Below are 26,208 nucleotides of genomic sequence, written 5' to 3' on the forward strand. Positions count from 1 at the left end.
AACATATTCCTATTGAATATTCAGAGCTCAGTTTTTCTATAAGCGAAGATAGTAAATGTTTTCAGCTTTGTGGGCATAGTCTCTGGAGTAACTATTCGCTCTGCTGTTATAGCACAAAATCAGCCATAGACAATGCATAAACAGATAGGAGTGGCTCTGTTCCAATAAATATTTACCAAGAACAAGCAACTGGCCAGGTTTGGCCCATAGACCACTGTGGGCCTACCCCTAAAATATATCATGTAACGTTCCATCCAGCATGTTCTCTGGAATTACCACTAAGCTTGGAGTTGGAAGCATAGATTTTAATTTTACTTACATGAGCTAGAGTAAGTCACGTAACCTTTTCAGGCTTTGTTTTTTCCTGATACATAAAATAAAAGGGAATAAATTGTCATTTAAGCTTATTAGAACTCAAGTTATTATTAAAAAAAGAAGCATTTCAACGCAAAAATCTTAATGCTCAACATAAAATGTGAAATCTCTTATTGTATATTCACCATTTGTATCCCATTTTACAATGCATTGTAGTTGATGTTATTTTTGAGAGTGAGGACTATGATGTTTGGTTTCCACTCATCTAAATAAAATAAACTTTACTGTTACTTTTTTGTTGTTTTAGAAATAATAACTTAATGATATATATGAAAATGTGTAATAAATAACAATGTTTTAATGGGTCTTCTATTGTGTTTGAAAAATGAATTAGAAAAGCTCTGCTTCAGGTTTATTTAATTAACTGGAATAAGGTTTAAAAGACGATGATACTAGAGTCTGTAAAATATTTATCACTAAATATAAAAAATATAAATTTCCAAGAAAGCAACATTACCAGTTACAATGGTAACTACAAATGTCTCAGCTGGTTCATAAATGCAGCTTATTTTTGAATGACTATTTAAATCTAAATTTTAGTACTTCTTTACATATTGATAATCCAAGGTGACATGCCCCTACTATTTTCCTTGGGCATTTTAGAACAAAAGAAAATAAACATCTCAAATTCAAATTGAAATGTGAAGTCAAATCTTGATCTTTTCTTGAGGTAGTACAATTATTTTGTTCCAATTTTTTCACATGCTAACATATTTGTAATAGTCTTTTTACAAGTCACCCCTCCCTTCTTCTACTCCTTCCTTCCTCCCCTCCCCTCCCCTCCCCTCCCTCCCTCCCTCCCTCCCTCCCTCCCTCCCTCCCTCCCTCCCTCCCTCCCTTCCTCCCTTCCTTCCTTCCTTCCTTCCTTCCTTCCTTCCTTCCTTCCTTCCAGAAATAGTTGTTAGCTATGCTGGATAAAATACTCTCCAGTACCTGGGAATAGAGATTAGAGAACAGTAAAGATAAGTAAACAGGCAATTGCAATACATTGTGAAAAATACTATAATGCAAAAGTTGTTGAAGGATACTTTAGGGGCAATTATGAGGAGAAAATATCCTAGTGAGGTGACACTAAGCTGAGACACAAAGAATGAATGGGAAGGTGCTAGTTGAGTATGGGAGGGATGGAGTCATGAGCACATGAAAACCAAATGAAAATTAGCTCATGTGCCACAAATTTGAGGATTTGCCTCAGTGGACAGATGGGAGGCTTTTAGACTCAATCCAGAGATGTGGAAATAAATTGTTGACATAGTATGGTTTTGTGGAAAGAATATGTGCTTCTGAGAAAGGCAGATCTAATTTGAAACCTGGCTTTACTTTGGCTTTGTGACTTGGGCATATTATTTAACCTTCTTGATTCTCAATTTCCTCATTTGCAAAATTGAGATAATGATATGTATTTTAAAAGAATGTTGTAAGGATTTAATAGGATAGCCACACAAAAGCGGTGGCTCATGCCTATTATCCCAGCACTTTGGGAGGCTGAGGTGGGCGGATCACAGGGTCAGGAGATCAACACCTGGCCAATATGATGAAACCCCTTCTCTACTAAAAATACAAAAATTAGCTGGGTGTGGCAGCCCGTGCCTGTGGTTCCAGCTACTCAGGAGGCTGAGGCAGGAGGATTGCTTGAATCCGGGGGGTGGAGGCTACAGTGAACCAAGATTGTGCCACTGCAGTGAGCCAACATCGCGCCACTGCACTCCAGCCTGGGTGATAGAGCAAGACTCGGTCTCAGAAAAAAGTGCCTTCCATGGAATTAATGTTTAATTAAAATTAGTTGCTAGTTACTTATTCTTCATATCTTAGTATTGGGAAAAGTTGAAGTCATCTGTGGAAAAAAAAATGTCTTTGACCGTAATCAGAGTACCCAGAGATTGGTTATGCAAAGAATTTTACAACTATCCTCTTTTTTTGCTCCCTCCCTTCTTCTCTCCCCCCTTTCTTATTTCTGCCTCTGTTTTCCTCCTTACAATTATGTTTTCTGTATAAGAAGGGGTTAGTGTCTTCTTCCCAAGCTTTAACTAAAATATGCTTGAGGGCACTTTTGGCTATGTTTCCATAGCTCCTAATGAAGAGTGTACATGCCATAATTCTTGTTTATAATGGAAGAAAAAAGTACAAAACCCAGAAAGGTCTCTAAGCAGAATATGGGGCCACTACACTTAATTAGCTAGGTGCAGTACAGGTTTGGAGTTCTTGGTGTTACCAACGGCATCCATAAAGGACGGAAGCGTACCTTAGGCAAAGAGCTCCACTACATGGTGGCTGTGTCCTTGCAATGGGACAGGCCCTAGCAAAGTTGAAGAGAATGGCAGTTTGAACTTCTCTGGGATACTGGAAGTGTCTCTTGCATAGCCTTTCAATAGTAGTAAATAGTATTTACTACCACTGAATACTCTGCTGATTATTAAGCTGTTATCTCTTTATCTTCATGTCCATTCTTCCATCTTCAGCTTTGTAGACATTCTTTTAAATTAAATATGTTTGTAAATAATGAAGTTAAGGGATGTTATAATGACTTGAGAAGTATAATTTTCCCAAGATTATTTGTCTGTTAAAATCCCTAAATATTTATATCTAAATTATTCTAAATATCCAAACTAAACCCAAACTAAATTTTCACTTTGGGGACCTTTAGCTTCTATCCAACTTACAACATTGCCCTTATGTATTTTTTTTAAAACTAGAACTTCGAAACTTAATTACATTTTCAAACCAAAGATCTCCAATATGGACTTACTATAAATTGTAGTATATCAATTGATGTTTAACTTTTAAATTTTATATGTATAATAGTTATAATTAATCTCCAACATACAGAAAAGTCTGTATTTGTTTTTACAAACTGAGCAGCATAAACATCAACTTGATTAATCTTTGTAGTCTTTTATCACTTTTATTTGCAGGTCTCTTAGTTTGCTTATCACCTCCTTTTTTTATTGTTGTAATTCCTTGATGTATTGTATTCCCTAAGTCTCCTAGGTATTTTAACTACTAGTCTTTTATTTTCTGGTACTCTACAAACATATTTAGTTTTACTTAAGACAAAACTATGAGATATGAATTGGGGTTCATTATTTATGGTCTTTTCTCTAAGGGATACAATTAGAAAAATAATGACAAGTGAGAGAAAACTCTTCTGTAAAAGTACAAAAATGCTTCATTTTATTCAAAAAGCAAGTTAAAACAGCTGCAATAGTACATAATGATATACATAATTTCCTGGGTGTATTGCCTGGATTCTTTTTAACCCTTTAAAAATAGAAATATTTATTATTTCAATAAAAGAAAGCAATCACATAGGACCAAGAGCTCTTGCTAAAAATGTGTATATTTCATACATTCTACTTGTGAAATATAGTAGGGGAAATATTTACGAGCACCATAAGATAGGAAGCTGAAACTGAAATCATTTCTAAATGAAAATTATGTGACAGTTTATCAGTATTTAATGCTAACATTGGTTGATGTGAGCATGAAGAATTTAGTAGCCATTTATCATAACTCTGTGTGTGGTTAGTTCTCTGATATACTTGCTTAGAGTAGAATGGTGTTTTAGTGGCAACATGAACCACAGCTTCAGTCTGAGATATTAAATAAATGGAAATGCCAAAAGAGGATTTGTTTTTGTTGCTTGGATTGTGTGTGTGGTTGTTGTTTTTCACATTCCTGTTAAAAGTAGTCTCCCATACCTTGCATGGGTTGGTTTTTGATCCACACTCCCCTGAACTATGGCTGGGCTTCTGCACCAGATGCAGGTGTCCCCTTGTGCTGTCAGCCAGGAATGATTAATGAGGATTTGCCCCTACTGAAAGCAGTCTTTGGAGCATTGTTCAGGGCATCTGTGGAACTGTCGGGGGAGACAAGGACACAAGTGAACAACCAATTATTTGGCCATCACTGAGGCAGCATGAAAAAGACATCAAATTGGACAGAGAAGCAATGCTTTTGTTTGGAGATCTAATATTATTTTTTAGGTATTAATAGTAACACAAGACTTTTAGCTTGTTTTAAAAGAATTTTGGTTAGGTCTAGGCTCTTAACCAGAAGTAGAATGCTTTTTTCTTTAAAGCTAATTGAATTACTTGAAAGTAGTATAAAAGGAATAAAACACCACCAAATTGATTCCTAAGTGGTTGCCTATTGTATAAAGATATATCGTTTTGCACGGCTAACATTAGAAAACAAGGACTAACTATGTAACAGGAGGGAAGGAGGATCCTCCATGCAGAGTTCCTAATTGTTGGTCATAGTTGACAAGGGCGAGGGGTTTTACAAGTGATCAGAGGGTCAGAGACATTGCACTGGAATCCTGAAGCAGCAAAAAACAAAACAAACCCAAAGCTGGGAAACGTTTCCTAGCCTATGTGCAGCATTTGAGTGTTTCCTTATTTCTAGAGTGACGTATACCCTTAGGTCTTAGTAAGAAAATATTTTTCAGGCTGTTACATTCTCATACTAGGTCTGTGATTTAAATCAAAAAAATTTGAAAGGCTAAAAAACGTAATGTATTTCGAGCACAATTCCAATGCGGATTAAGAAGCCCTTTCTTCCAGTAAAGTAGTTTCTTTTATGCTCTGTCCTTTCAGGCCTGTTGTCTTTAGGGTATTAAGAATTAAAAGCTAAGCTCTGAAGCCACTAAAACCTTCAAGGAGCAGATAATGATGTTTTAATATATAAAAAGTAATGGTCAGTAACAACTTTAACAAATGTGGTCCATGCAACAGCTATAAAAAAATACTTATTTAGCATTTATTTTTTGCAGGTTAATACTTTTGTATTATCTTTTTTTTAATGACAAGAACTTCAGGAACAGAGTAATTAGAAATCACCTCAAGATAAAAACAGGGATCAAATGACTACATCTAAAACAAATGTCTGAGAAGAGATTGATTTTATAAGTGATTTCTGGGAGAGTGCATTGCTTTGTGGGTCTTAAATAATTTTCTCTTACACTTACAGTGGCCTAGCTGCTTACTGATTTATATTCACTTGGTCAGTTCTAGAATTACATAATATTCTGAATTTTTAAAGCCAATCAGAATCTCCCTTATCTTATTTTTCAAATGTAGACAGGGAATACATACTATCACTCGTATTTCAAAAATTGGCCCATTTAGATAGATGCATTTTTATATGAAGCGGGCAAATAGGCTAGGCCCAAATCATGACACCCATTTCAAGTTCTTATGACTAGCAGCTTTGACTTGAAATAGGCTGAAAAGATAAATCCAAACCAAATGGACACTAATACTGCCTCTTTTCAATGTCATGAAAACAGCAGTTTCAAACTGTGTCCCATTTACTACTCACATTTAAATCGCCTCAGTAAGAGAGGATAAGTCAATTGTTTTTTTATTAATAACCCTGTTTTTCAAAGTGTTAGCAGATTCCCTGGATTTGAGATAGTTCGAGAACATTAAATTTGCACTGGGTCTGTTGGCAGATGATACAATTTCTACGGATGGAGTATTATGTATTTTTTCCCATGCAAATTCTGCTTCAGGTTTTGAATCTTTTAAAATTACCTGTATTAACAGGAATTGACCTTCACTATAGAGATTTAGCTTCATCTCTTCCCTGTTTTTTTTCGTTAGTAACTCTTGTCTTCTGGATGCTATCATGTCATTGTCATTTAGTCATTACAATAATTTTAATTGACTTTGAGCCGAGGCAGCTTCTCAGGCAGGACTGCTCATTTCACTTCTGTTGTTTGTGAGCCTCTGATAATGGCCTTTGAGTATGGTGCTTCAAACATTTGGCCTTTGAAAATAGCATGTTTTCCTAAAATTTTTATAGTAAGTATATCATAAGCAAAGCTAATGGTAAAGTTGCATCCTATTTCTTGCTTCTCTTTATCTACAATATCTACTCTAAGATTTGATTGGTGTGCCATGATTTTTTTTTCTTGTCATACTCAGGGTTTCTAATAGCTCTCAATTTTCTACAAGTTTGCTTGTAGAATTTTTATTTGAATGTTTGCTTCAGTTTCCTTTTGGAGTATTGACATTAAGCTATACTAGGTCAAACTTCCCTGGATTATTTTCTTTTTTTAAGAAAAAGATAATTGTAATTACCAATATAGGCATTTGGTTAAGAATCTGGGGTTGGAAGATTCAAAACTTCTTATTTTAAGGAATTCCAAGCAAATTTCTAGTATTAACTCTGAGATTTGGAAATGTGAGTTTGCAATATTGTTTAGGCCAGAAGAATCACTCAAAGAGAAACAGAATTATCAATATTTTCTTCACAGATGAGGGGCAGTTAGGGTTGTCAGGTAACATACATGATACCTAGTTAAATTTGAAATCAGATAAACAATGAATCAATTTTTAGTATATCTTAAATATTGCATGGGATATAATTATATTAAAAATTCATCCAATGTTTATGTGAAATTCAACTTTGAGTATCCTGAGTCCTGGTTTTTGGTTTCCAAATCTTGCAAACCTAGATAAGACCAAAACATTAAGAAGTGAGTGACTATAACCTGGATAGCAATCTAGAGATTTGGTCATATGGGTTCTGTCCCAGAATTTCATATGACAGTGAGCCAAGTTTTTTTTTTTTCTGCACTGGTAATAAGTCTCCAACTAGTTTATTGAAATATTGTGTAGATAATTTTAACTTAAACAAATATAGCTTAAACACTCAGAATTTTTTGACAGCAAGTCACATATAAGTAAAAGGAGGTAGAGTGATACCCCAAAGACCAATTAAAGGTCTTTTGAGACTGGCAAATTCAACCTACTTGAATTGAGACACAGACCTGCCATCTACAAGAGAACTAATGAAATGACTTCCATCATCTATAATGAATTGTATAAGAAAGAAAATATTTTATTCTTGACAGAGAATTGAACTTCCTTACGAAATGCAAAAGTTGAAAGGAAGGTTTGAAGTTCAAATAGGTTATAGGGAGAAAGGGGACAGGGATTTGAATGAAAATTGTCTAATTCAAATTTTGTGTGCAAAACTCAAATTAGGTAAGAAACATGTGACTTTAGGCTTTACAACTGGCATTGTCAGAGGAGTTGTCAGAGCCCAGGTGCCCAGCTTTGCCTTAATTACTTTTTCCCCCCCAAAGTATTGTTTTAAAACATTTGATGATATAGATGTTTAACTGTTGGACTATTATACTGTATTTTTTTTAATGAAAAAGAGTAAGTGGGATTCAGTGTCAAATTATTTTCTCAGAATTTTCCACTAGCAAATATAGGCTTATTTAAACCAGGGCTGTCCAATCTTTTGGCTTCCCTGGGCCACATTAGAAGAAGAAGAATTGTCGTGGGCCACACATAAAATATACTAATATTAACAATAGCTGATGAGCTAAAAAAAATCACAAAAAAACTCATAAGATTTTAAGAAAGTTTACAAATTTGTGTCGGACTGTATTCAAAGCTATGCTGGGCCGCATGTGGCCTGCAGGCCACAGGTTGGACCAGCTTGATTTAAACCTTTGCCAAATACTCTCATGATTATTGCACTCAGGTGTAAGCTATTAATATAGTATCCAATTGAGAGTGTGCTAGTAGCTGAAATGGCAAAGATGTATTTTATTTGTAAGGCATAAACATAAACAAGGAATTGATTAATTGGGCATACTTTCATAGATGTCATTAGATAATTCCTTTTTATTTCAATACATGAAATTTACATAGAACGAAAACCAAAATTTGTTATTTTTTATATGATAGGCAACCTAATTTGTAGCCCTCTTTTTCACTGCCACCCAAGAAATAGAAATATTGGAATAATATTCTTAGCCCCCAAGTTTTATTTTGCATTTTTATTGTTGCATGTGGTAAACACAGAAGAATACATTAAAACAGTTGACACATTTTTGCCCTATTGTTAGCATAAGTGTAAAATGAGATGTTTTCAAAAATCAATCATCATGTATTTATTGATTTCCTATTGTAAAGTATTATAATACAAGTAATATAGGCTGTTAGGCTATATGCTATTTTTAAAGTATTTACCTACACTTCTCTCTCTCTCTCTCTCTCTCTCTCTCTCTCTGTCTCTATTTGACCTATCTAAGATAGAAAGAGAGAGAGGGAGAGAGAGAGAGAGAAGTGTAGGTAAATATTTTAAAGATACCTTATCTAAGATAGATAGAAGTGCAGGTAAATATTTATAAATATATATATATATGTAGAAGGGTCAACTCAATTTACCAATAAGTACAAAGAAAATATTAGTAAGTACAAATGCACTAAAATAAACTGAATTCATGAAGAAAATTATATCCATCAGATTAAAAATCCCTTATTATTCTGACAGTTCTACCTACATACTTATCTGCATTCTCATTCTTATTTCCTCCTTTCTTCCTTTACAACTGAATAAATGTCTCCTCTCCTTTCTGGGCCAAGCTCTTGACTTGGGCCCTGAATTCCTTCTTTTTCTGCCTTCTCAGGGCTTTTGCAATAGGGGTTGTCCTTTCTGTTTCCTTTACCTTCAACCTTTCTCCACCAACTCCTTCCCGTGAGTTCTCAGATACACTCACATTCCTGCTATCTTAAAATCAACAGTTTCTTCATGAACTCCCCTCTCCAGCTATTGCTTAGTTTCTTTCTCCTAAAAGCCACAATTTTGGAAAAAGGTGTCTACATTTTCCCTTTGTACTTAGTCTTTTATTTCTGTGCTCAGGACCCAAATGAGAATCTCGTTTCACTGAGGTCACACAGCACTTCCGTGGGGCTAATTCCAATGAATATTTTTAACCTTCATATTAGTTGCCTGTGAATGGATTTTGATCTACATTACCACATTTTTTTGCCTTTTATTTTATTTTATTTTATTATTATTATACTTTAAGTTTTAGGGTACATGTGCACAATGTGCAGGTTTGTTACATCGGTATGCATGTGCTGGCTTTGAAAACATACAACCTCCTGGTATTTTTTCTCCCTCTCTCAGTCTTCTTTTCCTTTGCCCAGGCTTTAAATGTTGATGTTCTTCAGGATTCTGGCTTGGGGACTCTTCTCACTCCACACTCTTGGGGATTCTCATCCACTCTTCAGCACTGAGGTACAACTTCAGACCGAGGACTTATGTTAGTTTCTCTATTTCAGACCTCTCTGCTGAGTTCCATTTCTAGAAATACAATGTATTTCTGGACATCTTCACTTGATTGTCTTTCAGACATCTCAAACACACACTGTGTGAAACTTATCTTCTTTCCTAAATTGCTTGAACAGCCTTTTAAACTGACTCCCAGACCACAGCCTTGCCACCCTCCAATCTGCTCTCCACACATCAGCCACAGTAATCAAACTCAAGTCTTTTCATATTGCTTCTTTGATCTGCCTGCATATAATCCATCACTGACTTGCTATTCCCAAAGTCTAAATTCGTTAAGGTTTCCCAGGCCTTCTGAGATCTGTTCCCCATTCTTTGTAAGCTTCATCTTTTCCCTTCTCTCTCACACATTCTAGGGTAAAAATATACTGAACAATTTATTTTTCTGTTCCTCAGGTACACTCCCCTATTTTTTATCCACTTGCTTGTCATACATGGAATTATCTCTGCCAAGAACACCCTTCCTTCCTTTTTGTCTTGATCTACCTTTAGATCCCATTTCAGTTGTGCTATTCCTTTCCTCTGAAAGTTTTCCTGGTATCCCCATCCGCCCAGACTAGATTAGACATTTTAAGTGTGTGCTCCTGTGTCTACTTATATTTTCTCATTGTAACACTTGGAGACATTTTACTATAACTTTCTCATTGTCTGCATTTTAAGGTACTGCAACTCAGGCAGCACAATTTCTGAAGTCTCGGGTGCTAAACTAAAATTTTCCCAGAGACCAAAAATAATGTGAAATCCAATATAATTAAGACTGCGTAACAGTTCTCTGAATTGGCCACATTATGCAATTCATGTATTTATTCATAAAAATATTTATTTAGGATACTATAGAAGTGGTTAAGAGGGCAGACTCTGAGGCTAAGCTAGATTGCTTGGGTTCAAATCTCAGCCCTACATGCATGATTTACGATCAAGTTGATTAAGTTCCTTATTCAGAAATTAGGAATCAAAATAGTACTTACTTTATAGGATTATTGTATTAAATTATGTATTACATATAAAGTGCTTAGGACACTACCTGGATAATAGTAAGCACTGTGCAAGTGCTGAGCACGGCTAGTTCAAAGGTTTTTAGGGGCCAACACTAATACTACCTGCCATCATAGAACTTACAGATAGTGTAGGAGAAACACATTAAAAAAAAAAGATTTCTTACCTCTCTCTCTGGGAAGCTCTAACATGCTCTTTATTCTTACCATACCCACAGCTTGTGATATCTGGGGTCTTTCCCGTACATTTAAAGTAGAATTGTATCATTTCACTTAGAAATATTTTCAGACACAGAACCATTTTAACTCCAGAGTTCTGGGAAATCCTTAGCTTTTCACAAATTTGCCTCATAGCTAATTCATAAATTCTCTAAAGGAGGAGGATCCACTTTAAGGAAATTCTTTCCACTTGGTCTTTCCTTTGGAAGTAACAATCTACCATGATTTTCTCTGTGGCATTCTTCAGCCCAGAGCTCCCAGCAGTTTATGCTGTACCTGTGTGCAAATTAAAATAAAATGTTTTATCTCTCTCTCTCTCTAGCTGGAAGAATATAAAAGGTTACCCCTCTGTGCAAGAGCACCATCCTAGGCATACAAACTCAGGAAAATATCAAGAAAAAAGTGTGACCCCATGGGGGCACACTGGCAGCTTCAGGGAGCACATCTCTGTGAGAAGATGTGGGCTGGCCTTCACTGCTACTGTGCCCTCTTAACAGAATGCTCTTATGCAGAGCACAAAATGCCCACTGTATCCAGCCAGCTGTGCTTCACACAGTGGACCTGTTTGCTTCCTAGGCTTCCTGTGACCTACACTTCTCCTTGCCTGTCCAGGATCAACTCCAGAAGTAGCTTGCTATGCTTTAGGTATTTTCTCAGGTCCCTCTAATGCCTTTCTATGTGTCATATTTTCAGAGCTCTGCCCTTTGCTTTCCAAGGTGACAGCCTTGGTCCATTCTATCTAGCAGAGCAGGAGGCTCCAGAACATTTTACATTAGTCCAAGGAGGTAAGTAACTACAATGTTAGACATTTAAGACAGGCTTTCTAGTGATTCTTATTGCTGATGCTATGCAGGATAAAGTTAATTTTTCAAAGTCTCAACTGAAGTATCCAGAATTCTCCAGATCTTGAGCCTCCCATGCTGGGTAAAGGAAGATGAACTTGGTACATCAGCATTGATGTGTAAACACCTAAAGGCAATAGGGAGTAGAATCAAGAAATATATTCTGTGTGTAGACTGTGTTTGACTTGGAAAATAACAGTAAAACAGTACTTTTAAGTATATTTATGTATAATTTATAATATAAGGTATTTTCATATGCTTTATCTTCTTTAAGTGTTCAAATTAATGCTGTGAGGCAAATCAGGCAGTATATAATGCACAGGTTTTATGTTTTTTTAAATAAAACATGTGGATTGGCCCATCAAATAGAAAAACTATGAGATTTAACTTGTCACCAAACATTGAAGGGAGGAAGAAATTAATTCTAGGAGAATTTTAAATTGTAATAATTATTTATTTTTATTCACCAGAACTTACTTTCTAAAAATTTAAATAAATGTCCCAAAGGCAAGACAATTTATATTTGGGCACCCCAACAAAACACATCCATTTAAAGCAAAAAAAAAAAAAAATCAAGTTGTGATAATATTTCACTTTAGAGCAGTAATATTGGCCCTGTCTTGTCTAGTTATGAATCAGAGCTAATGAGGGATATGAACACAGAACTAACACTGTAAATCAAACTTTAAAAAGCTGCTTTGTCATCTTGTTGACAGCAGTTATTAATGATTCGAGGGCCTCTATTTTAGTAAAAAATAGGGTCTGTCTTTCTGGCTTTAAATGAACATTAGCACCTTACAAGAGGTTGGACATGACTCTTACCACAATAGGTAATTGCAGCTAACAGCTGCATTTGAGTTTTCATTGTGCACTCTTTTTGAGAAGATTTCCTAGTGATAGTTCAGTTCATGCAGAAAGTTAGCAAGCATTTTCAACCTGAGAGCTATTTATATAAATTTTAAAACAATATACACGAGAATAGTTTAGTAGCTCTTAAGTTTTAGGCACACATAAAAATAGAAATTAGGTGTCTTAAGGACATTTCTGTAATGCACTCATCTCCATTTTTTAAAGTAATTTATTATAAACGTCTTTCTTCTGCTTTTCCTTTTTGTTTTTAAAGGTGAAAGCAGTAGCGAAATAATTGACAGGTGCTACTGAGAATCTCCAGAAAATATATCTTGATCTGGATTATTGTGGAATCTTAAAACAAAATTTTCTAACATAATTGTAAACCATATTGTATTTTTGAGTGCAAAGGGCTAAGCACAGAAAGTGATCATAAACATTGCCTAGGTTATTCAATGTTCCAGGATTCTGAGGGTTGTGAGAAATGTTCAGAATGTTATCTCAGCTTTTGCATTTCTTTATAAAATGTAAGAAAACCATCCCCAAATGTTGGTGGTTGAGACTTCCATACAATTCTAAAAATCTTTGGAAATTGTTTTTTGTCTAACTAGTAATGCATATATTCCTCACCATGTTGTTGCCAGAATCATAAATTCTTTTATCTAGAAGCAAATGATTTTTATTTTTAGAAAAAAAGTATAAATTATGGACAAATTGAGTAAGAATGTCCTACTATTCGTATAGAGTTATATTTATACTAATCTTTCCCTTATAGCTTTTGCCCTTGTGTAAGTCATTTATCTAAAGAATCTCCTGAGCTTGCTTGCAATGTTGGTTAAGAAGTATTGACCATGAAGAATCTGAGTTCTAAACTCTGAGATGAGTTACACTTGTCTCAGAGTCAGAGACCCAGACAGAAAGGTGACTGTTGAGAGGCGGGCCAGGCATTTTCTTCCTCCTCACCGCCTCTTAACCTCATGTCCTCAAGGAGGAGTTCTGAGACCGCCGATAATCATCATAGCTCATGGGTCCAAGCCTTCCTACTGCAAGGAATTCTCATTATTTCAAGGGCTTTTTAATCAGTAAACAGTAGAAGACAATTACTGTATAGATCGGTTTAATTAGTTTATTTGATGCCCAGAGCATGTAAGTTTGCAACCAGGTTGTTTCTGCTAGCTATAGAATCATAAATTAATGGCAATGTTCTGGGCTGAAAAGATGATGCTCTGTGAGTGCTAACATGCTGGTACAGTCCTAATGGATTAGGAAGAGGATTGGTATACATGGAGCCTTTTACTAAAACAGGCCTCTCATGTCTTCATATCATCAACCATAATTTATTTTTTACCATCTCTTACTAGCATATTTCTAGTTTTCCATTAAATGACCTGAGGATACTGAGATATAGAGCTACCAAAAATCTGTATATTTAATATATTGAATCAAAATTTATTTATTCTCTATATTGTTTCTATCTTCTGTAGAACAATCTATATCAAATTATATATGTATAAAATTATGTATATAAAATAATTTCTGAGGATATAAGGACCTTGTATTTGAAAAGATGTTTTAATATTTTCTAGTAGGCATATTTTAGTGGCTCTAAATTATGTTTTCAAATTGTTGATTCAGTGCAACATCTCACTTTTTTAATCATTGTCATTTTTTTACTTGCTCCCCCAATCATGAAGCAAAGAAAACATGCATTTTCTCCTTCAGAAAATGCTACCCTTCCACAAATGCAAATTAGTTTGAGATAAAACAAACAAAAAAGAAACAGAAAGAAACAAAGAAAGAAAATCTTTAAAGCCTTTGACTGGTTACTTGAGCATTGTTCAGTAAGTAGACATAGTCACTATTCCCACCATGATTTTTAGAAGTTGTGACAAGAGCCATCCACATTCTTTTGTACATGACCAGTGGCACATTTGTGAGATGACCAGCGGCGGTTGGGGCTGTGTCTAGGAGCAGTTTTCTTTTTGTGAAGTTAATGGGCACATATGGGGATTGAACAAGCTTTACCATTCTTTCAGCTCCTCCTTCTTCCCTGGTCATGGATTTGAAAAATTGCCATTGAGACTGCAGTCAATGATCTTCTCCTTTCTGTTTTATGTAATTAATTGCCATTAATAGAAGATACCAGTCATGAGATAAATTTGGTTGAAGATGAGGTTAGACAATGAGACCTTGACTGATAATTTAAAATTTTAATTTTCTTTTCTTTTTTTTTTTTAAATTTGCTCCTTACCCCCTACATCATCTCCTACATCTTCCTAACTATCCTATGTGGTGTCCTCACTGATCTGATTGATGTTGGCCAGTATGAAAATAGTTTTTGTGGGACTATAGCCTGTTTACAATAAAAAGTAACACAATTAACTTAATTCTATAGCTTCTGAAACTGAGGTAAAAGTCATACTGAAATTCTGAATGCTTCATGGTAAACATACCTGAAAAGCCTGCTTCTACTGGATCTTCTCTTTCTTTTTGACTCTTAGTTTCAATGAAAAATGAAGAGCTTCTACTTATTGTAGAAGTCTTGATAATTTAGAACAATAAATAACAGTATGGAAGCAATTGACAGACAATTGTTTTCACAATGCTAACCAGGGTTTCCAAGTTGAACTATTTAACCCCAAATTTAAACAAAGCAGGCGTCTTTGTTTTAAGTGATAACACCTGTGCACAACCTGATGCCTGGTTGGACTAATAATTAGAAATAATATAGCAATTATTTATTGAATGCTTACCATGTGCTATTCATTGTACCCCAAATTTTAGTGTGTTATCTCATTAATTCTCATAGCAACACTATAAGGTAGATTTTTTTCCCCATTATAGATTAGAGAACCAAGTTTAGAATAGTTAATGTCAGGGTTAACTTACCTAAGGCCATGCAGTTAGTAACTAGAAGACTAAGTCTTTCTGACCCCAAAATCCCTTTGCCCATGTGCTTTTTTTGCTTGACTTCTTTGTTCCTTAGATAATCTTATTTTATTTATTTTTAAATAATAATAATATGGACTCAGTAAGATTATGTAGGGCACTGTATAGGTAGGAAACTGTTTAAACACGTATTTATATATAAAATGATAGAGCTGAATTTGATTATCCTCACACATCTATTAGTCTATAAATTGATGTCAAGAAATAGAGAATTTCAGCCAAGCAGGAATTTCTCTGAGAGAGGTTTGGTAATATTCATGGAGTCTAAAAAAAGGGGGAAAGAAACCAGGTTGGCAAACAAACAATAAAGGGACTAAAAAGGGGTGCCTTTTCTATGTAAAATCAAGAAATTAGAAAACTTCCTATTTTAACACATTATTAAAAATCACTTATTTTCTCATGATTTTCATTATAACAAAAAATCAAATCCAGAATCCTTTAGCAGGCATTCAGGATGCAGGGCCTCCTGATGCCAGAGTTAATAGCTTGTGATGAGAAACTGGCTGCCATGATCATATGTGGTTTGTGGGATCAGAAGTATGTTTGGTGTACTCATTTTCTAAATTAAATCTGTCCGGTCTGGATATCAGAAAGTAGGTTATCATTGATAATTCATTATCATACGTCTCAAATGATATTCCATGGAAGCCTTGGCCTTTTAAGATAGATAACAAAATAGTAGTAAATATTATCATTAGGTAAAAAAGGGGACGGCTCTGTGCCTTGGATATCTGTAGTAGGACCATTATCATTGTAGGAATGTGTTGAGAGAAGCTATTGGCATGCTAAAAATACACTACTTTAATAATAATCCATGCATAAAGGACCAAGAGAGAAGATATGGCAGAGAACTAATGAATTCTGGATCTTTTCCATATTTACCATTTCCACCAAAAAAATTAAATGCCGAATATTAAATTATAATGTTTAAACATAAAAAGTGAAATCTGTAATGTTAAAATGAACTTGAATCATGTAAATGTTAAATTTTTATTTAAAATGCGTCTCATTTTATTTATATTCAAAACAGATGCATGATTTTAAATACAGGGCGGTTGTAATATTCTAAGCACATATTTTAGGGACTTCCTCCCTTTTCCAAATCTCACTCAAGTGGAACATACACTCATTTCTGTAACAAAAATTCTTTCTACTCTATTGGCAAAATGAATAGCATCAACTCAAAATATTTAAAAATTTAGTCACATCCACATCCTGCAGCCTATAAGGAGCTTTCACGCTTTTGGGCTCGCTTTAGATCTTTAATACCCTTTCCTTTTGTGTCAAGGAGCTCACGAGGCGTAAAGAAGCACTGATAAACCCACTTAGATCCCTTCCTGGGCCGTCACCTCTCGCTGCCAAGCGGCTTTAGGTGGTAACTGATCTGTGACAGGCTGCCAGTCAAACAGAGCATTTCTGAAAGCTGACACAAAAGACTGAACGCTGGAGAATGGATAGGAAAAATAAGAAAAGGACCCAAACTGTATCAGTGCCCCCCACTCATCTCGGTCTGTTCCTCTTCGCTACCGCCCCCACCCTCTGGCCCACCCCTACCCTCCCTAACCTTTTTTGGTTGGTTTTTCTCTCTTTTCTTTTCTCATCCTCTTCCCTCCCAACCGCCCGCCTCCTCCCTCCCCCAGTTCCCTTTCCCAGAGCACAGCCTTTCCCCCCTGCTCTCTCTGGCTGGCTCCTTCTTAGTCAGGTTCATGGCAGGGGCAGCGTAGAGTGGAGAGATAGAGATCAGCAGCCCTTCCAAGCGGGGACTGCCCCAGTGCACTGCTGATAATAGAGGCAGAAGTGAGAGTGACAGTCAGATGGAAACTGACACAGGCCTTCTGTCAATGCCGCAGCTGCCCGTGGGACTGAGGAGGAAAGAGAGAGAGAGGGAGGGAGGGAGTTGAGCTGAAATGTCAGTGCCGATAACTGCACCAGCTCGCTATTTTTCTATGTAGGTGTCGTTCTATTCCACATGTGAGGCAAGGTTTTTTCCAACTCCGCAGCGCTTGCTGTTTCTTCTTGGCTGCTGTGAGTGTGTGAAGGAGCAGCTTACTTGGTGAAATCCTCACTTAATTTCTTCTGGTGCTGTGGAGCCCCGTTGTGTGATTGTGTTTGACAGTTTTTGTTCTCACAGCCTTTTGAGCATTTTAAAGATTGATAAATCTTGTCATATGAGAACCCCGAATGATGCCCGAATATTTCACATTCTTACAGCTGTAGATCGTTTCTGTATTTTCCTACATTAAAATAAGGCAAGAAAATATTAACTGAGAAATATGGGCAGTGACTCATTTTTCTGCCCAGGAGAAGGTTATGCTGAAAATGTCCCCAACAACAGACTTTTTATCTTGACTTTGGGACCTCTCTGGAGAGAACTTTAGGGTAGCTCTTCTTGTGTAATTAATTGTTTTCTTGAATTTTAAGAGTCGTAGTGGTACCATTGTTTATCAATAGATCCCATATTTCTATTTCTGAAGGTGAACTATTTTTAAATAAAATGACCAAAATGTATCTCTCTTTCTCTCTCTCTCTTTCTCTCTCTCTCTCTCTCTCTCTCTCACACACACACACACACACACCACACACGAAATAAAATAACAGTGACTGATGGTAACTATAGTTTCAGTTATACAACAAAGTGATAAAATCCATGAAGATACTTCAGTTCTGCTGAATCTCTACTTAACATCTCCAGTGGTTCAGAATCTCTACAAGGCTAGTAGCAGCTTAAAGTTTGAAGGATTTTTGTAACCCAAAAAATCAGGATCACCTGACATTTTACCCTGAGCTCAGTCCATTACAAATCATTTCTTCTTTTCTTTTTGAGAAAGTTACCAGCTGGGATCTTCTTTCTTGGCTATACTAAGGGCAAACCAAAAATCTGCACTAAAAGGGATGGGTGCAGATGAACTCATTTCACTATTGCGTATTTAAATAAAGGTAAGTGATAATAAACATGTTAGGTGATAGGTGATATAAAGATTATTATCCTGACAATCACCTCTTTCTAGGATGTTGCATTATGGAAGCATTGTGAGACACAGACACACACACACACACACACACACACACACGAGGGAGGGAGGAAGCAAGGGAGAGAGAAGATATCCCATGGGGGAATATTGATTATTTTTAATAGCCTGATTTAGCTTCTCAATTTAGTTTTTATGTCTTTTTCCTCTTAAGTAGATCTTTCAGGTGTATGTTTTATTCAAATTACAGTGCACCAAGGAGTATAGCTCAAGACAAAGTGAAATTATGTGGATTTAGAAAAAAAGGATCAAAATTATGGTTAGAAGAACTATATACATTTATAATTTTGCAGTACTGATATTTTATTTGATAGCATCTGTCAGAAACCATTAATCAAGTATCTGTATTTACATGGTGCTATACAACATTATGCAAATGGAGAGGCAAGAAAAGCAAGCCTAGGCTACCAGGGAGCTTTTTTCTCTAAGACATATAGAATTAACAAAGTTTTACACACAAGGCACAAAGACTAGAAGACAGCCACTAGCTAAGTGTATAAACTAAATTAACAATTGCATGCAAATAACATTCTATGCCAATGGGTCAGTGAAGAGAGTAGAGGGAACAGTTAGAATCATCATAGAAGTGTACGATGTAGAGAGAAGCAAGAAATGGGAAGGTTTTATGGACAAGATAAGATTTCAGGAGTTTCTTGAAATAAGGAGAAAAGGAGGAGTTATGAACCATTTCTTTCCATTCACAATAAATGCAGTCCTTTCTCAAGGATCTTTTCTCAATCCTTGGCCCTTGGCCTTTAACTTGCTTTTTGAAATGGAGATGACATCTCTGTTAGAGAGGTCAGAGTGAAAATTTTAGCCGTAAAGGCATCAGCACCAAACACTTATTGATGCATACTAAATGCTAAGTACTACTGTAGATGTCATTAAATTCATAACCTCCTCAGTCTTCCCAATGACGCTATGAGCTAAGTATTATTAACTTCATTTCACAGGAGAGGAAGGTAAGGCTAAGAGATGTGAAATACATATTCTCAGGAATATGTAAGTAATAGGGCATAACAGTCCTTCAACTCAGGCCATCATACCTCACATGTTTTGCTTTAATCATGACACATCCATACTTATCCAGTCTTCATGAGACTCCTGTGAGGTTGAGCAAAAGCAACTGTAATTATTTCAATGGTCTGCAAAGAACTCAAACTGTAGTTGAAAATTAGACCTTGCTACTAAGCTTCTTCAGTTTCCAGTAAGGCTTTGGATATTCCTTTATATAATGGTTCTATACAAACCATAATTGAGCAAACACTTGGAATCAGCTAGAAATATTAGGTGAAAGATATTTTTGGATCCCATTCAGAGTTTGTGATTCAAAGGTCTGGAATGTGTTCAAGAATTTACTTTTTTTTTTTTTTTTGAGACAGAGTCTCACTCTGTCAGCCAGGATGGAGTGCAGTGGCACCATCTTGGCTCACTGCAACCTCTGCCTCCTCTCACAGTGTGAGAGGACTAGTGTGAGAAAGCTGCTAATGAAAGAGCTGCTGAATGAAAGTACATTTCACCTGCCTACACCCACCCCCACCCGAGTGTTGTTTCAGCTATCTGCCCATCCACCCACTCCCCTCGGACCTCAGCATGGGCCTGGACCTGACCCTGAGCATGACATTTGGTGTAGTTGTGAACCTGACATAAAGATAAGGGATGTGTTGGGGATAGACAATGTGACTGAACCACAGAAACATCTTATGTAAAAATTTACTTGTCCCCTTAAGTAAAACAGATCAGTTAAACTAATAATATGTAGGCTAAAACCAAGGAGAAAATAAGCCTCCCCCTCTCTCCATTGCAATAGATATTCTGTACAGCACCATACTCTCTATGATGGGCAGCTGTAAGCAGTGACAATCAGGAACAAAGAGTTCATCTTGTTAAGACCACAGCTGCTACGGTGGACCCTGCAGAGAATCTCCTTGGATAATACTCTGCATCTCTACTTTCTTCTGGCTTTCCCTGGACAGATGTGTAGGAGTCCCATGAGTCTGGACCGTGGTCAAGGAACTGCTATTTATACTTCATTAATTATAAGCCATATCCAATACAAAGGGATAAATGCATATTATAGGGGTATTCTGCTATAGGGCCAACTATAGAAAATATGGGAATGACCAATTAATGCTGTTCTCATATTTTGAGTTTTTGGTTCACAACATGCAAATAAACAGTCTTGTTTTTCTTTTTAGAGCTTGGTGAACAGTGTGATTAATTGAATCAAACCACATGAGTGATCTTAGGAGAATTGGTATCAGCTGTGTGCAAATTAATCAAGCTAGGCTAAACGCTACTCTGCAGTTGATAAAACGTTTGTGGTTTACCTGAGAGGAATCAAGGAAGTAAGTGTAGTAAGAATCATGGTTTACAGAGAGATGGGGACCGTGACACTCTTAAACCTGGAATGGCTATAGCAATTGACAGAAGGCAACAACTGCAAGTTTATCTTGTCTCCAGATGATCAGGGCACCTGTTCGTTTAACTATGGCATGTGAGAGGGTCCATTCATATAATGAATGAAACACTGTGGATGCACTCCTGGCCATTATCTCTATAAGAAACAAATCTCATTGTGATTTTGGAATTAATAGATTAATTAAATCTCATAATGCCAGAGGCCAATTTAATAGCATGAATGTAAATCTAGGGTATAGAAAACTAGGAAGAATCAGTGCACCTCTAGGCTTGTTTTTCACAGTTGAATTATTGATTTGGTCAAGATTCTCCAAAGTCTCAGTTGAAACAGTTATTTGCTCATAATAGATGTTCAATAAACATGAACGATTGATTGTCTTGATGACCTAAACCATATAAAGTTGATGCTTATAAACTAGTGTTTTCTGAGCCACACAGATTTCTTGCATGTTATTAGTTTTTTGCAGGAAAGCTTTATTTTTGTTCTTTTTTTTGGTAAATAAATAATCTGAAGGTAATTCAAAACATAGCTACAGAAGGGAAAGTGGCATTCTTAGATTTCATGGTAGCAACATCTATGTACAATATGTGTTTGTATCACATAATTATTTTTAGGTGTATATTTAGCTGTGGTACTCATAATTTTACATTTGTGAGAAAAGTATCATATAATCTTTAACAGTTAAAAAAATCATATTATTTTTGACTCTGGGATTTTGGAAAGAAACACTATTCCATTACAAGACTATTACATGTAATTAAAAAAAAAAAAGTCATAGATAATTAGAGCCCCTCACACTTCTGGTTCCTAGTGTTTCAGACATTTCTCTTTCTCCATGAGAAAAATATCCATGGGTAGGTTTTCATGCCTTCTCCAATAAGCATGGAATTATGATGTCAAAGAAATGTGAAATGGTAATAAATGAATATTAGATAATCAAAAATTTTATGGAGATTTATAATGATTGATTAGAGGAAAAAACAAAAGTACAGAAAATATGATATATATTTTTCTAAAAGGAATGGGTTTTCTAATGAACGAAATGTTTATTATCCTCAGAGTTTTTGGTCAGTCTTCAGTTAGCTTTGCAACCAATTTATATGTATTTAAAATGACTTTGTATTCTGCTTTTTCAGCAGTTTCAGGAAATTTTAGAGATTGTAAATCTTGCATAAAATAATAATCCTATATGAAACCCCATCTCTACTAAAAATACCAAAGATTGGCCAGGCATGGTGGCACGTGCCTGTAATCCCAGCTAGTTAGGGAGGCTAAGGCAGGAGAATCACTTGAACCCCAGAGATGAAGGTTGCAGTGAGCCAAGATTGTGCCACTGTACTCCAGGCTGGGCAACAAGAGCGAAACTCCATCTCAAAAAAAATTAAAAATCCTATCTGCAATATAACTTTGCCATGGTGGCAGGCACCTGTAATCCCAGCTACTTGGGAGGCTGAGGCAGGAGAATGGCCTGAACCTGGGAGGTGGAGGTTGCAGTGAGCCGAGATGGTGCCATTGCACTCCAGCCCAGGTGACAAGAGTGAAATTTCATCTCAAAAAAAAAAAATTGTAAAATTTAACACTTATTTTAGAAATACAGGCTCTAAATTTAACAATTAATAAAAATTAGGAGGTATTCTGGACTTGGGACTTCCTGTTCTACTTTCCTTTTATGGTTTCTGTTGAAATTTTCCTTTTGATTGTGTGTTGTTTTCCTGATTTTGTTTATTGTCTATCTGTATTCTCTCATAGCTCACTGAGCTTCTTTAAGAGGATTATTTTGAATTCTTTGTCAGGCAAAAAGTCTCTATTTTTTAGGGTCAGATACTGGTGCTTTATTTTGATACTTTGATGATGTCATGATTCCCTGATTGTTTGTGATTTTTGTGGCCATGCATTTGTGTGTGAGTACTGGAAGAAGTATGCACTTATTCCAGTCTTTGCAAACTGGCTTCAGTAGGGAAAGCCCTTCACACGTCAGGCCAGCAAGAGATTCTAGGCAGGCTGTCTGGCACGGTCTGGAGGCATACTTACTGTCATAATCCTCAGGCAGGCTAATCTAATCCCTGGATCAGCAGGCGAGTGGGTCTGGTACCTGGGTGTGTGGGATTGGGCCTGGAACCTGAGTCTGCTGTAATGGGATTAGAGCTTAGGTCTGCTAGAGCAGGCTTGAATCCTGGGCCCATGGGGCTAGTGCATCATTGAATCTACTGGCAAAGAGCTGTTGACTGAGTCCATGTGGGCCAGCTTGGTGCTTGGGCCACAAGGGTAGTCTTGGAGCCTTAGTCCACAGGTGCTGACTTGCCATTGGGTAGGTCTGGAGTCTGTGTTTGCAAAGGCCAGCCCAGCACTTGGGTCTACTGGGATGAGTTTTAACTCTGGGTCTGCTGGAATAGGCCTGGATCCTAGATTTGCTGGAGTATAGGCCCTTGGTGGCCAGGCTGGTGGCTGGGCCAGATGCTGACCTGAAGCTGGGGTAGACAGGTGCTGACCTGATGCTATGATGGGGCTGGATTCTGGTTCTGTGGGTACTGGCCTTGAGGCTGGGCCTATGACCTGGTGTTAGGCTGATCTGGAGCCTGGGGTAGGCCTGGAGCCTAAAGGAAATTCCTGTTCCACCAGAAACTATGAATTCCAATATATATTATCCTTAAGAAATTATATTATTTTCTCAAGTTTTTGCCTTCTTATGATAAATTCTGAAATTCAAATTTTACATTGTTAAGAAATTTTAATTTTGAAACTTGGTTAGTTCACTTCAATAGTTTTATTTATAAACCTCAAATAAATTTTTACTCTCATGAGTCAAGGTATTTATAAATGCTTACTTTAAGCCACTTTTTTAGACAAAAAATATTCGTAGGAAAGGTGAGATATAGGCTGCATCTGTAGGGCAATAGACTCAACTCTTGATAAAATAAAATAAAATAAAATAAAATAAAACAAATTTACAAACCAATATATCCAGTCTCATACACGGGAAATTAAGAAAGAGATTTGTTGTCATCTGAAGAGGTATGACAGCAGTTTTATATAATTTTGGCTGTGACCAAATAAATAATTAAACTGGATTTGGCACTTAAGTTTGTCAGTTCAAATCCAGAGAATTATACTTATTCACTCATATTTTCTATACCTCATATAGGTGTAGAAAATGGCTACTGGTGTTCCTAAATTGGTTCCTGGCATGAAAATATTTATCCACAAACATTTAAAATCTCATACAAAGGAGTGAGAATGCATTAAGAAGTCAAGCAATGTCATCCATCATTATGCCACCAATTGGTCTGTCTATCATAGTTTGTCATTTGATAAAAGTATGGAGCAGCAATTATTAGATCCGTTCATAGTTGTACGGGATGCCTCATGTTTGTTTTCAGCGGTTTGTCTTGATATTGTGGTCACATTGTTTTCCTGAAGTAGAATTTGTAGTTTCTGGTAGAGCAGAAAGTCCCAAGTCCAGGATTTCTCCAGCTCTCATCCTTTGTACTACTGTGCAATGCTGCCCAGTAAACCACAGAAGCCATGTGGTTCACTTGTTTAGAATTACATCTTTTTTTGTTGTTGTTGTTGTTTTATACTGAATTTTAGTTTTCTTTTTATTTTATTTTATTATTATTATACTTTAAGTTTTAGGGTACATGTGCACAACGTCTTTTTAATTAACTTTTGGATTAAACTAAAAGGTTTTGAGGAAGGATACTTCAGATTTGTCAGAATGTGATTTGTTTGGGTGCAATCATCAGTTTTTAATATCCTGATACTCGAATTTAGTCAGTTTATTGTCTTTGAATATTACAGTCCCCAAACTGATATCCCTGTTTTCAGTTTTGTCTCTCTTCTACTCAACTGCTGGTGCCTGTGTCAGCCTTTCTGGTATTATTTCTTATCCCTCTCTGTCTTGTAAATTATTCTTTAAGACTCTAGAATTCATTGTAGTTTCCATATTTACATGATCCTATTGTCTCTGTGACTTTGTTCATGGTGCCGCCTTTTAGTAGGAAAATCTTTCCCTTTCTCTTTACCTGATTACTCATACCTTTTAAAACTCTGTCTAGGCCCACTCCAGAAATCTTTCCAGATAAATCATCTGTCCCTGACCTGGATGGCTGTCCTTGGTGCTTTTATAATAACTGCTGGAGTTCAAGGCCTGCCACTAACTCCCTCTTTCCTCTGGGCTTCCTTTCAAAGCTAATCTGTTGAAGAATAAAGTCTAATGAGGAAGAAAGGAACAATGTACTAATTCCTATATGTGTGCCTAATCATCCCTACTATGTGGGAAATTGGATTGGTGAACATGATTTAGGCTTTCTTAATTCTAACTACCTATGTATCTCTTTTACCCCTGTTGAGTAAGTGAGCCAGTAAGGACCACCTTTTTCTTTTCCAGTTCCATCTACATCTGCCCATCCATACCACTATTAGGGATATTTGGATTCCTAGATTAAAGAAAAGGGAGTTAGGATCAGAAGACCTCACTTATACATCTTTATCCAAATGTCATTCTCAAGTCCAGTTTTATTCAATAGCGGAGCCTCACTAGCTGACTTGAAAGGCTAGTCTTTATCCAGAGGCCATTCATTCAACAAAAGTGTTTGAGGATTGTCTATGCTTCGGTATCTTCTGTTCTAGACACTGGAGATATGACAGTGGAAAACTAGAAACTAGGGGCCTCCCTTCCCACTCTCATTGGTCTGGGGTTTAGAAGGGATCTGTGATGCTTGAGGTGTTTCATAATCTGCAGTTAATATGTGTGTCCTGTGTAACTGCTGAATCTCTCTAGATGCTGACTTCTGTTTTTAGTAACCCCCATAGCTACACACTTCTCTCTCCACGGCCTATCATGGCAATCATTGCAAATAGAGAAGTGTCAAGTATGCTTAGCAATATATAGTACATGGTATCTGTTCTTGTTTTGTTTAAGTAATTGTATTTGACATAAATTTTTAAAAAAGATAATATAGTTGAGAAAAAGAAAAACATTGAATTTTTAAAAAACCCACAATCCAGTTATAACCACTGGTAATATTTTATGATGAGGTCCCAAAATGTGAGTGATCTGCTCAAGATGAAAAAGTTTTTGGAATTGAATGGTTTTTATATAACATCAAACTTTAGGTTGGCAATGATTGTTATAATGATAATGATATCAAAATAGCAAGTATTTATTGTACATCTGCTACATGTCAGTTTAGTACACTGTGTACTCATTTAAACCTCACAACATGCTTTTAAGGTAGACATTATTATCCCCATTTTATAGATATAGAAATAGACTCAAAAGAATTATAAATATATATTTCTTGAACATAGCTTTATTTTCAAATGTAACTTTTGAGGAGACATATGCAAGTACACATAATTCATCTAAATTCAGAATGACTTCCAAAGGTCACAGGATGGTTGGAAAGAAATCTCAAGATTATTTTAAAGTA

General features: G+C 36.2%; 1 long non-coding RNA gene across 1 annotated transcript in view, besides 1 other annotated feature; it reads left to right on the top strand.

The window, feature by feature from the left end:
• The window catches only part of LOC101927314 (uncharacterized), a 403,332-nt gene that overhangs the window by 346,661 nt on the left and 30,463 nt on the right, over nucleotides 1-26,208 (top strand). The gene's annotated exons all lie outside the window — the stretch shown is intronic.
• Nucleotides 15,963-16,821: an enhancer, noted in NCBI's record as "VISTA enhancer hs282". NCBI's record gives its function as "enhancer in: hindbrain (rhombencephalon)[6/8] | midbrain (mesencephalon)[6/8]" and the evidence as "EXISTENCE:transgenic organism evidence [ECO:0001131][PMID:17130149]".

This window comes from Homo sapiens, chromosome 6 (assembly GCF_000001405.40).
Source record: "Homo sapiens chromosome 6, GRCh38.p14 Primary Assembly".
NCBI classification, from domain to species: Eukaryota; Metazoa; Chordata; class Mammalia; order Primates; family Hominidae; genus Homo; species Homo sapiens.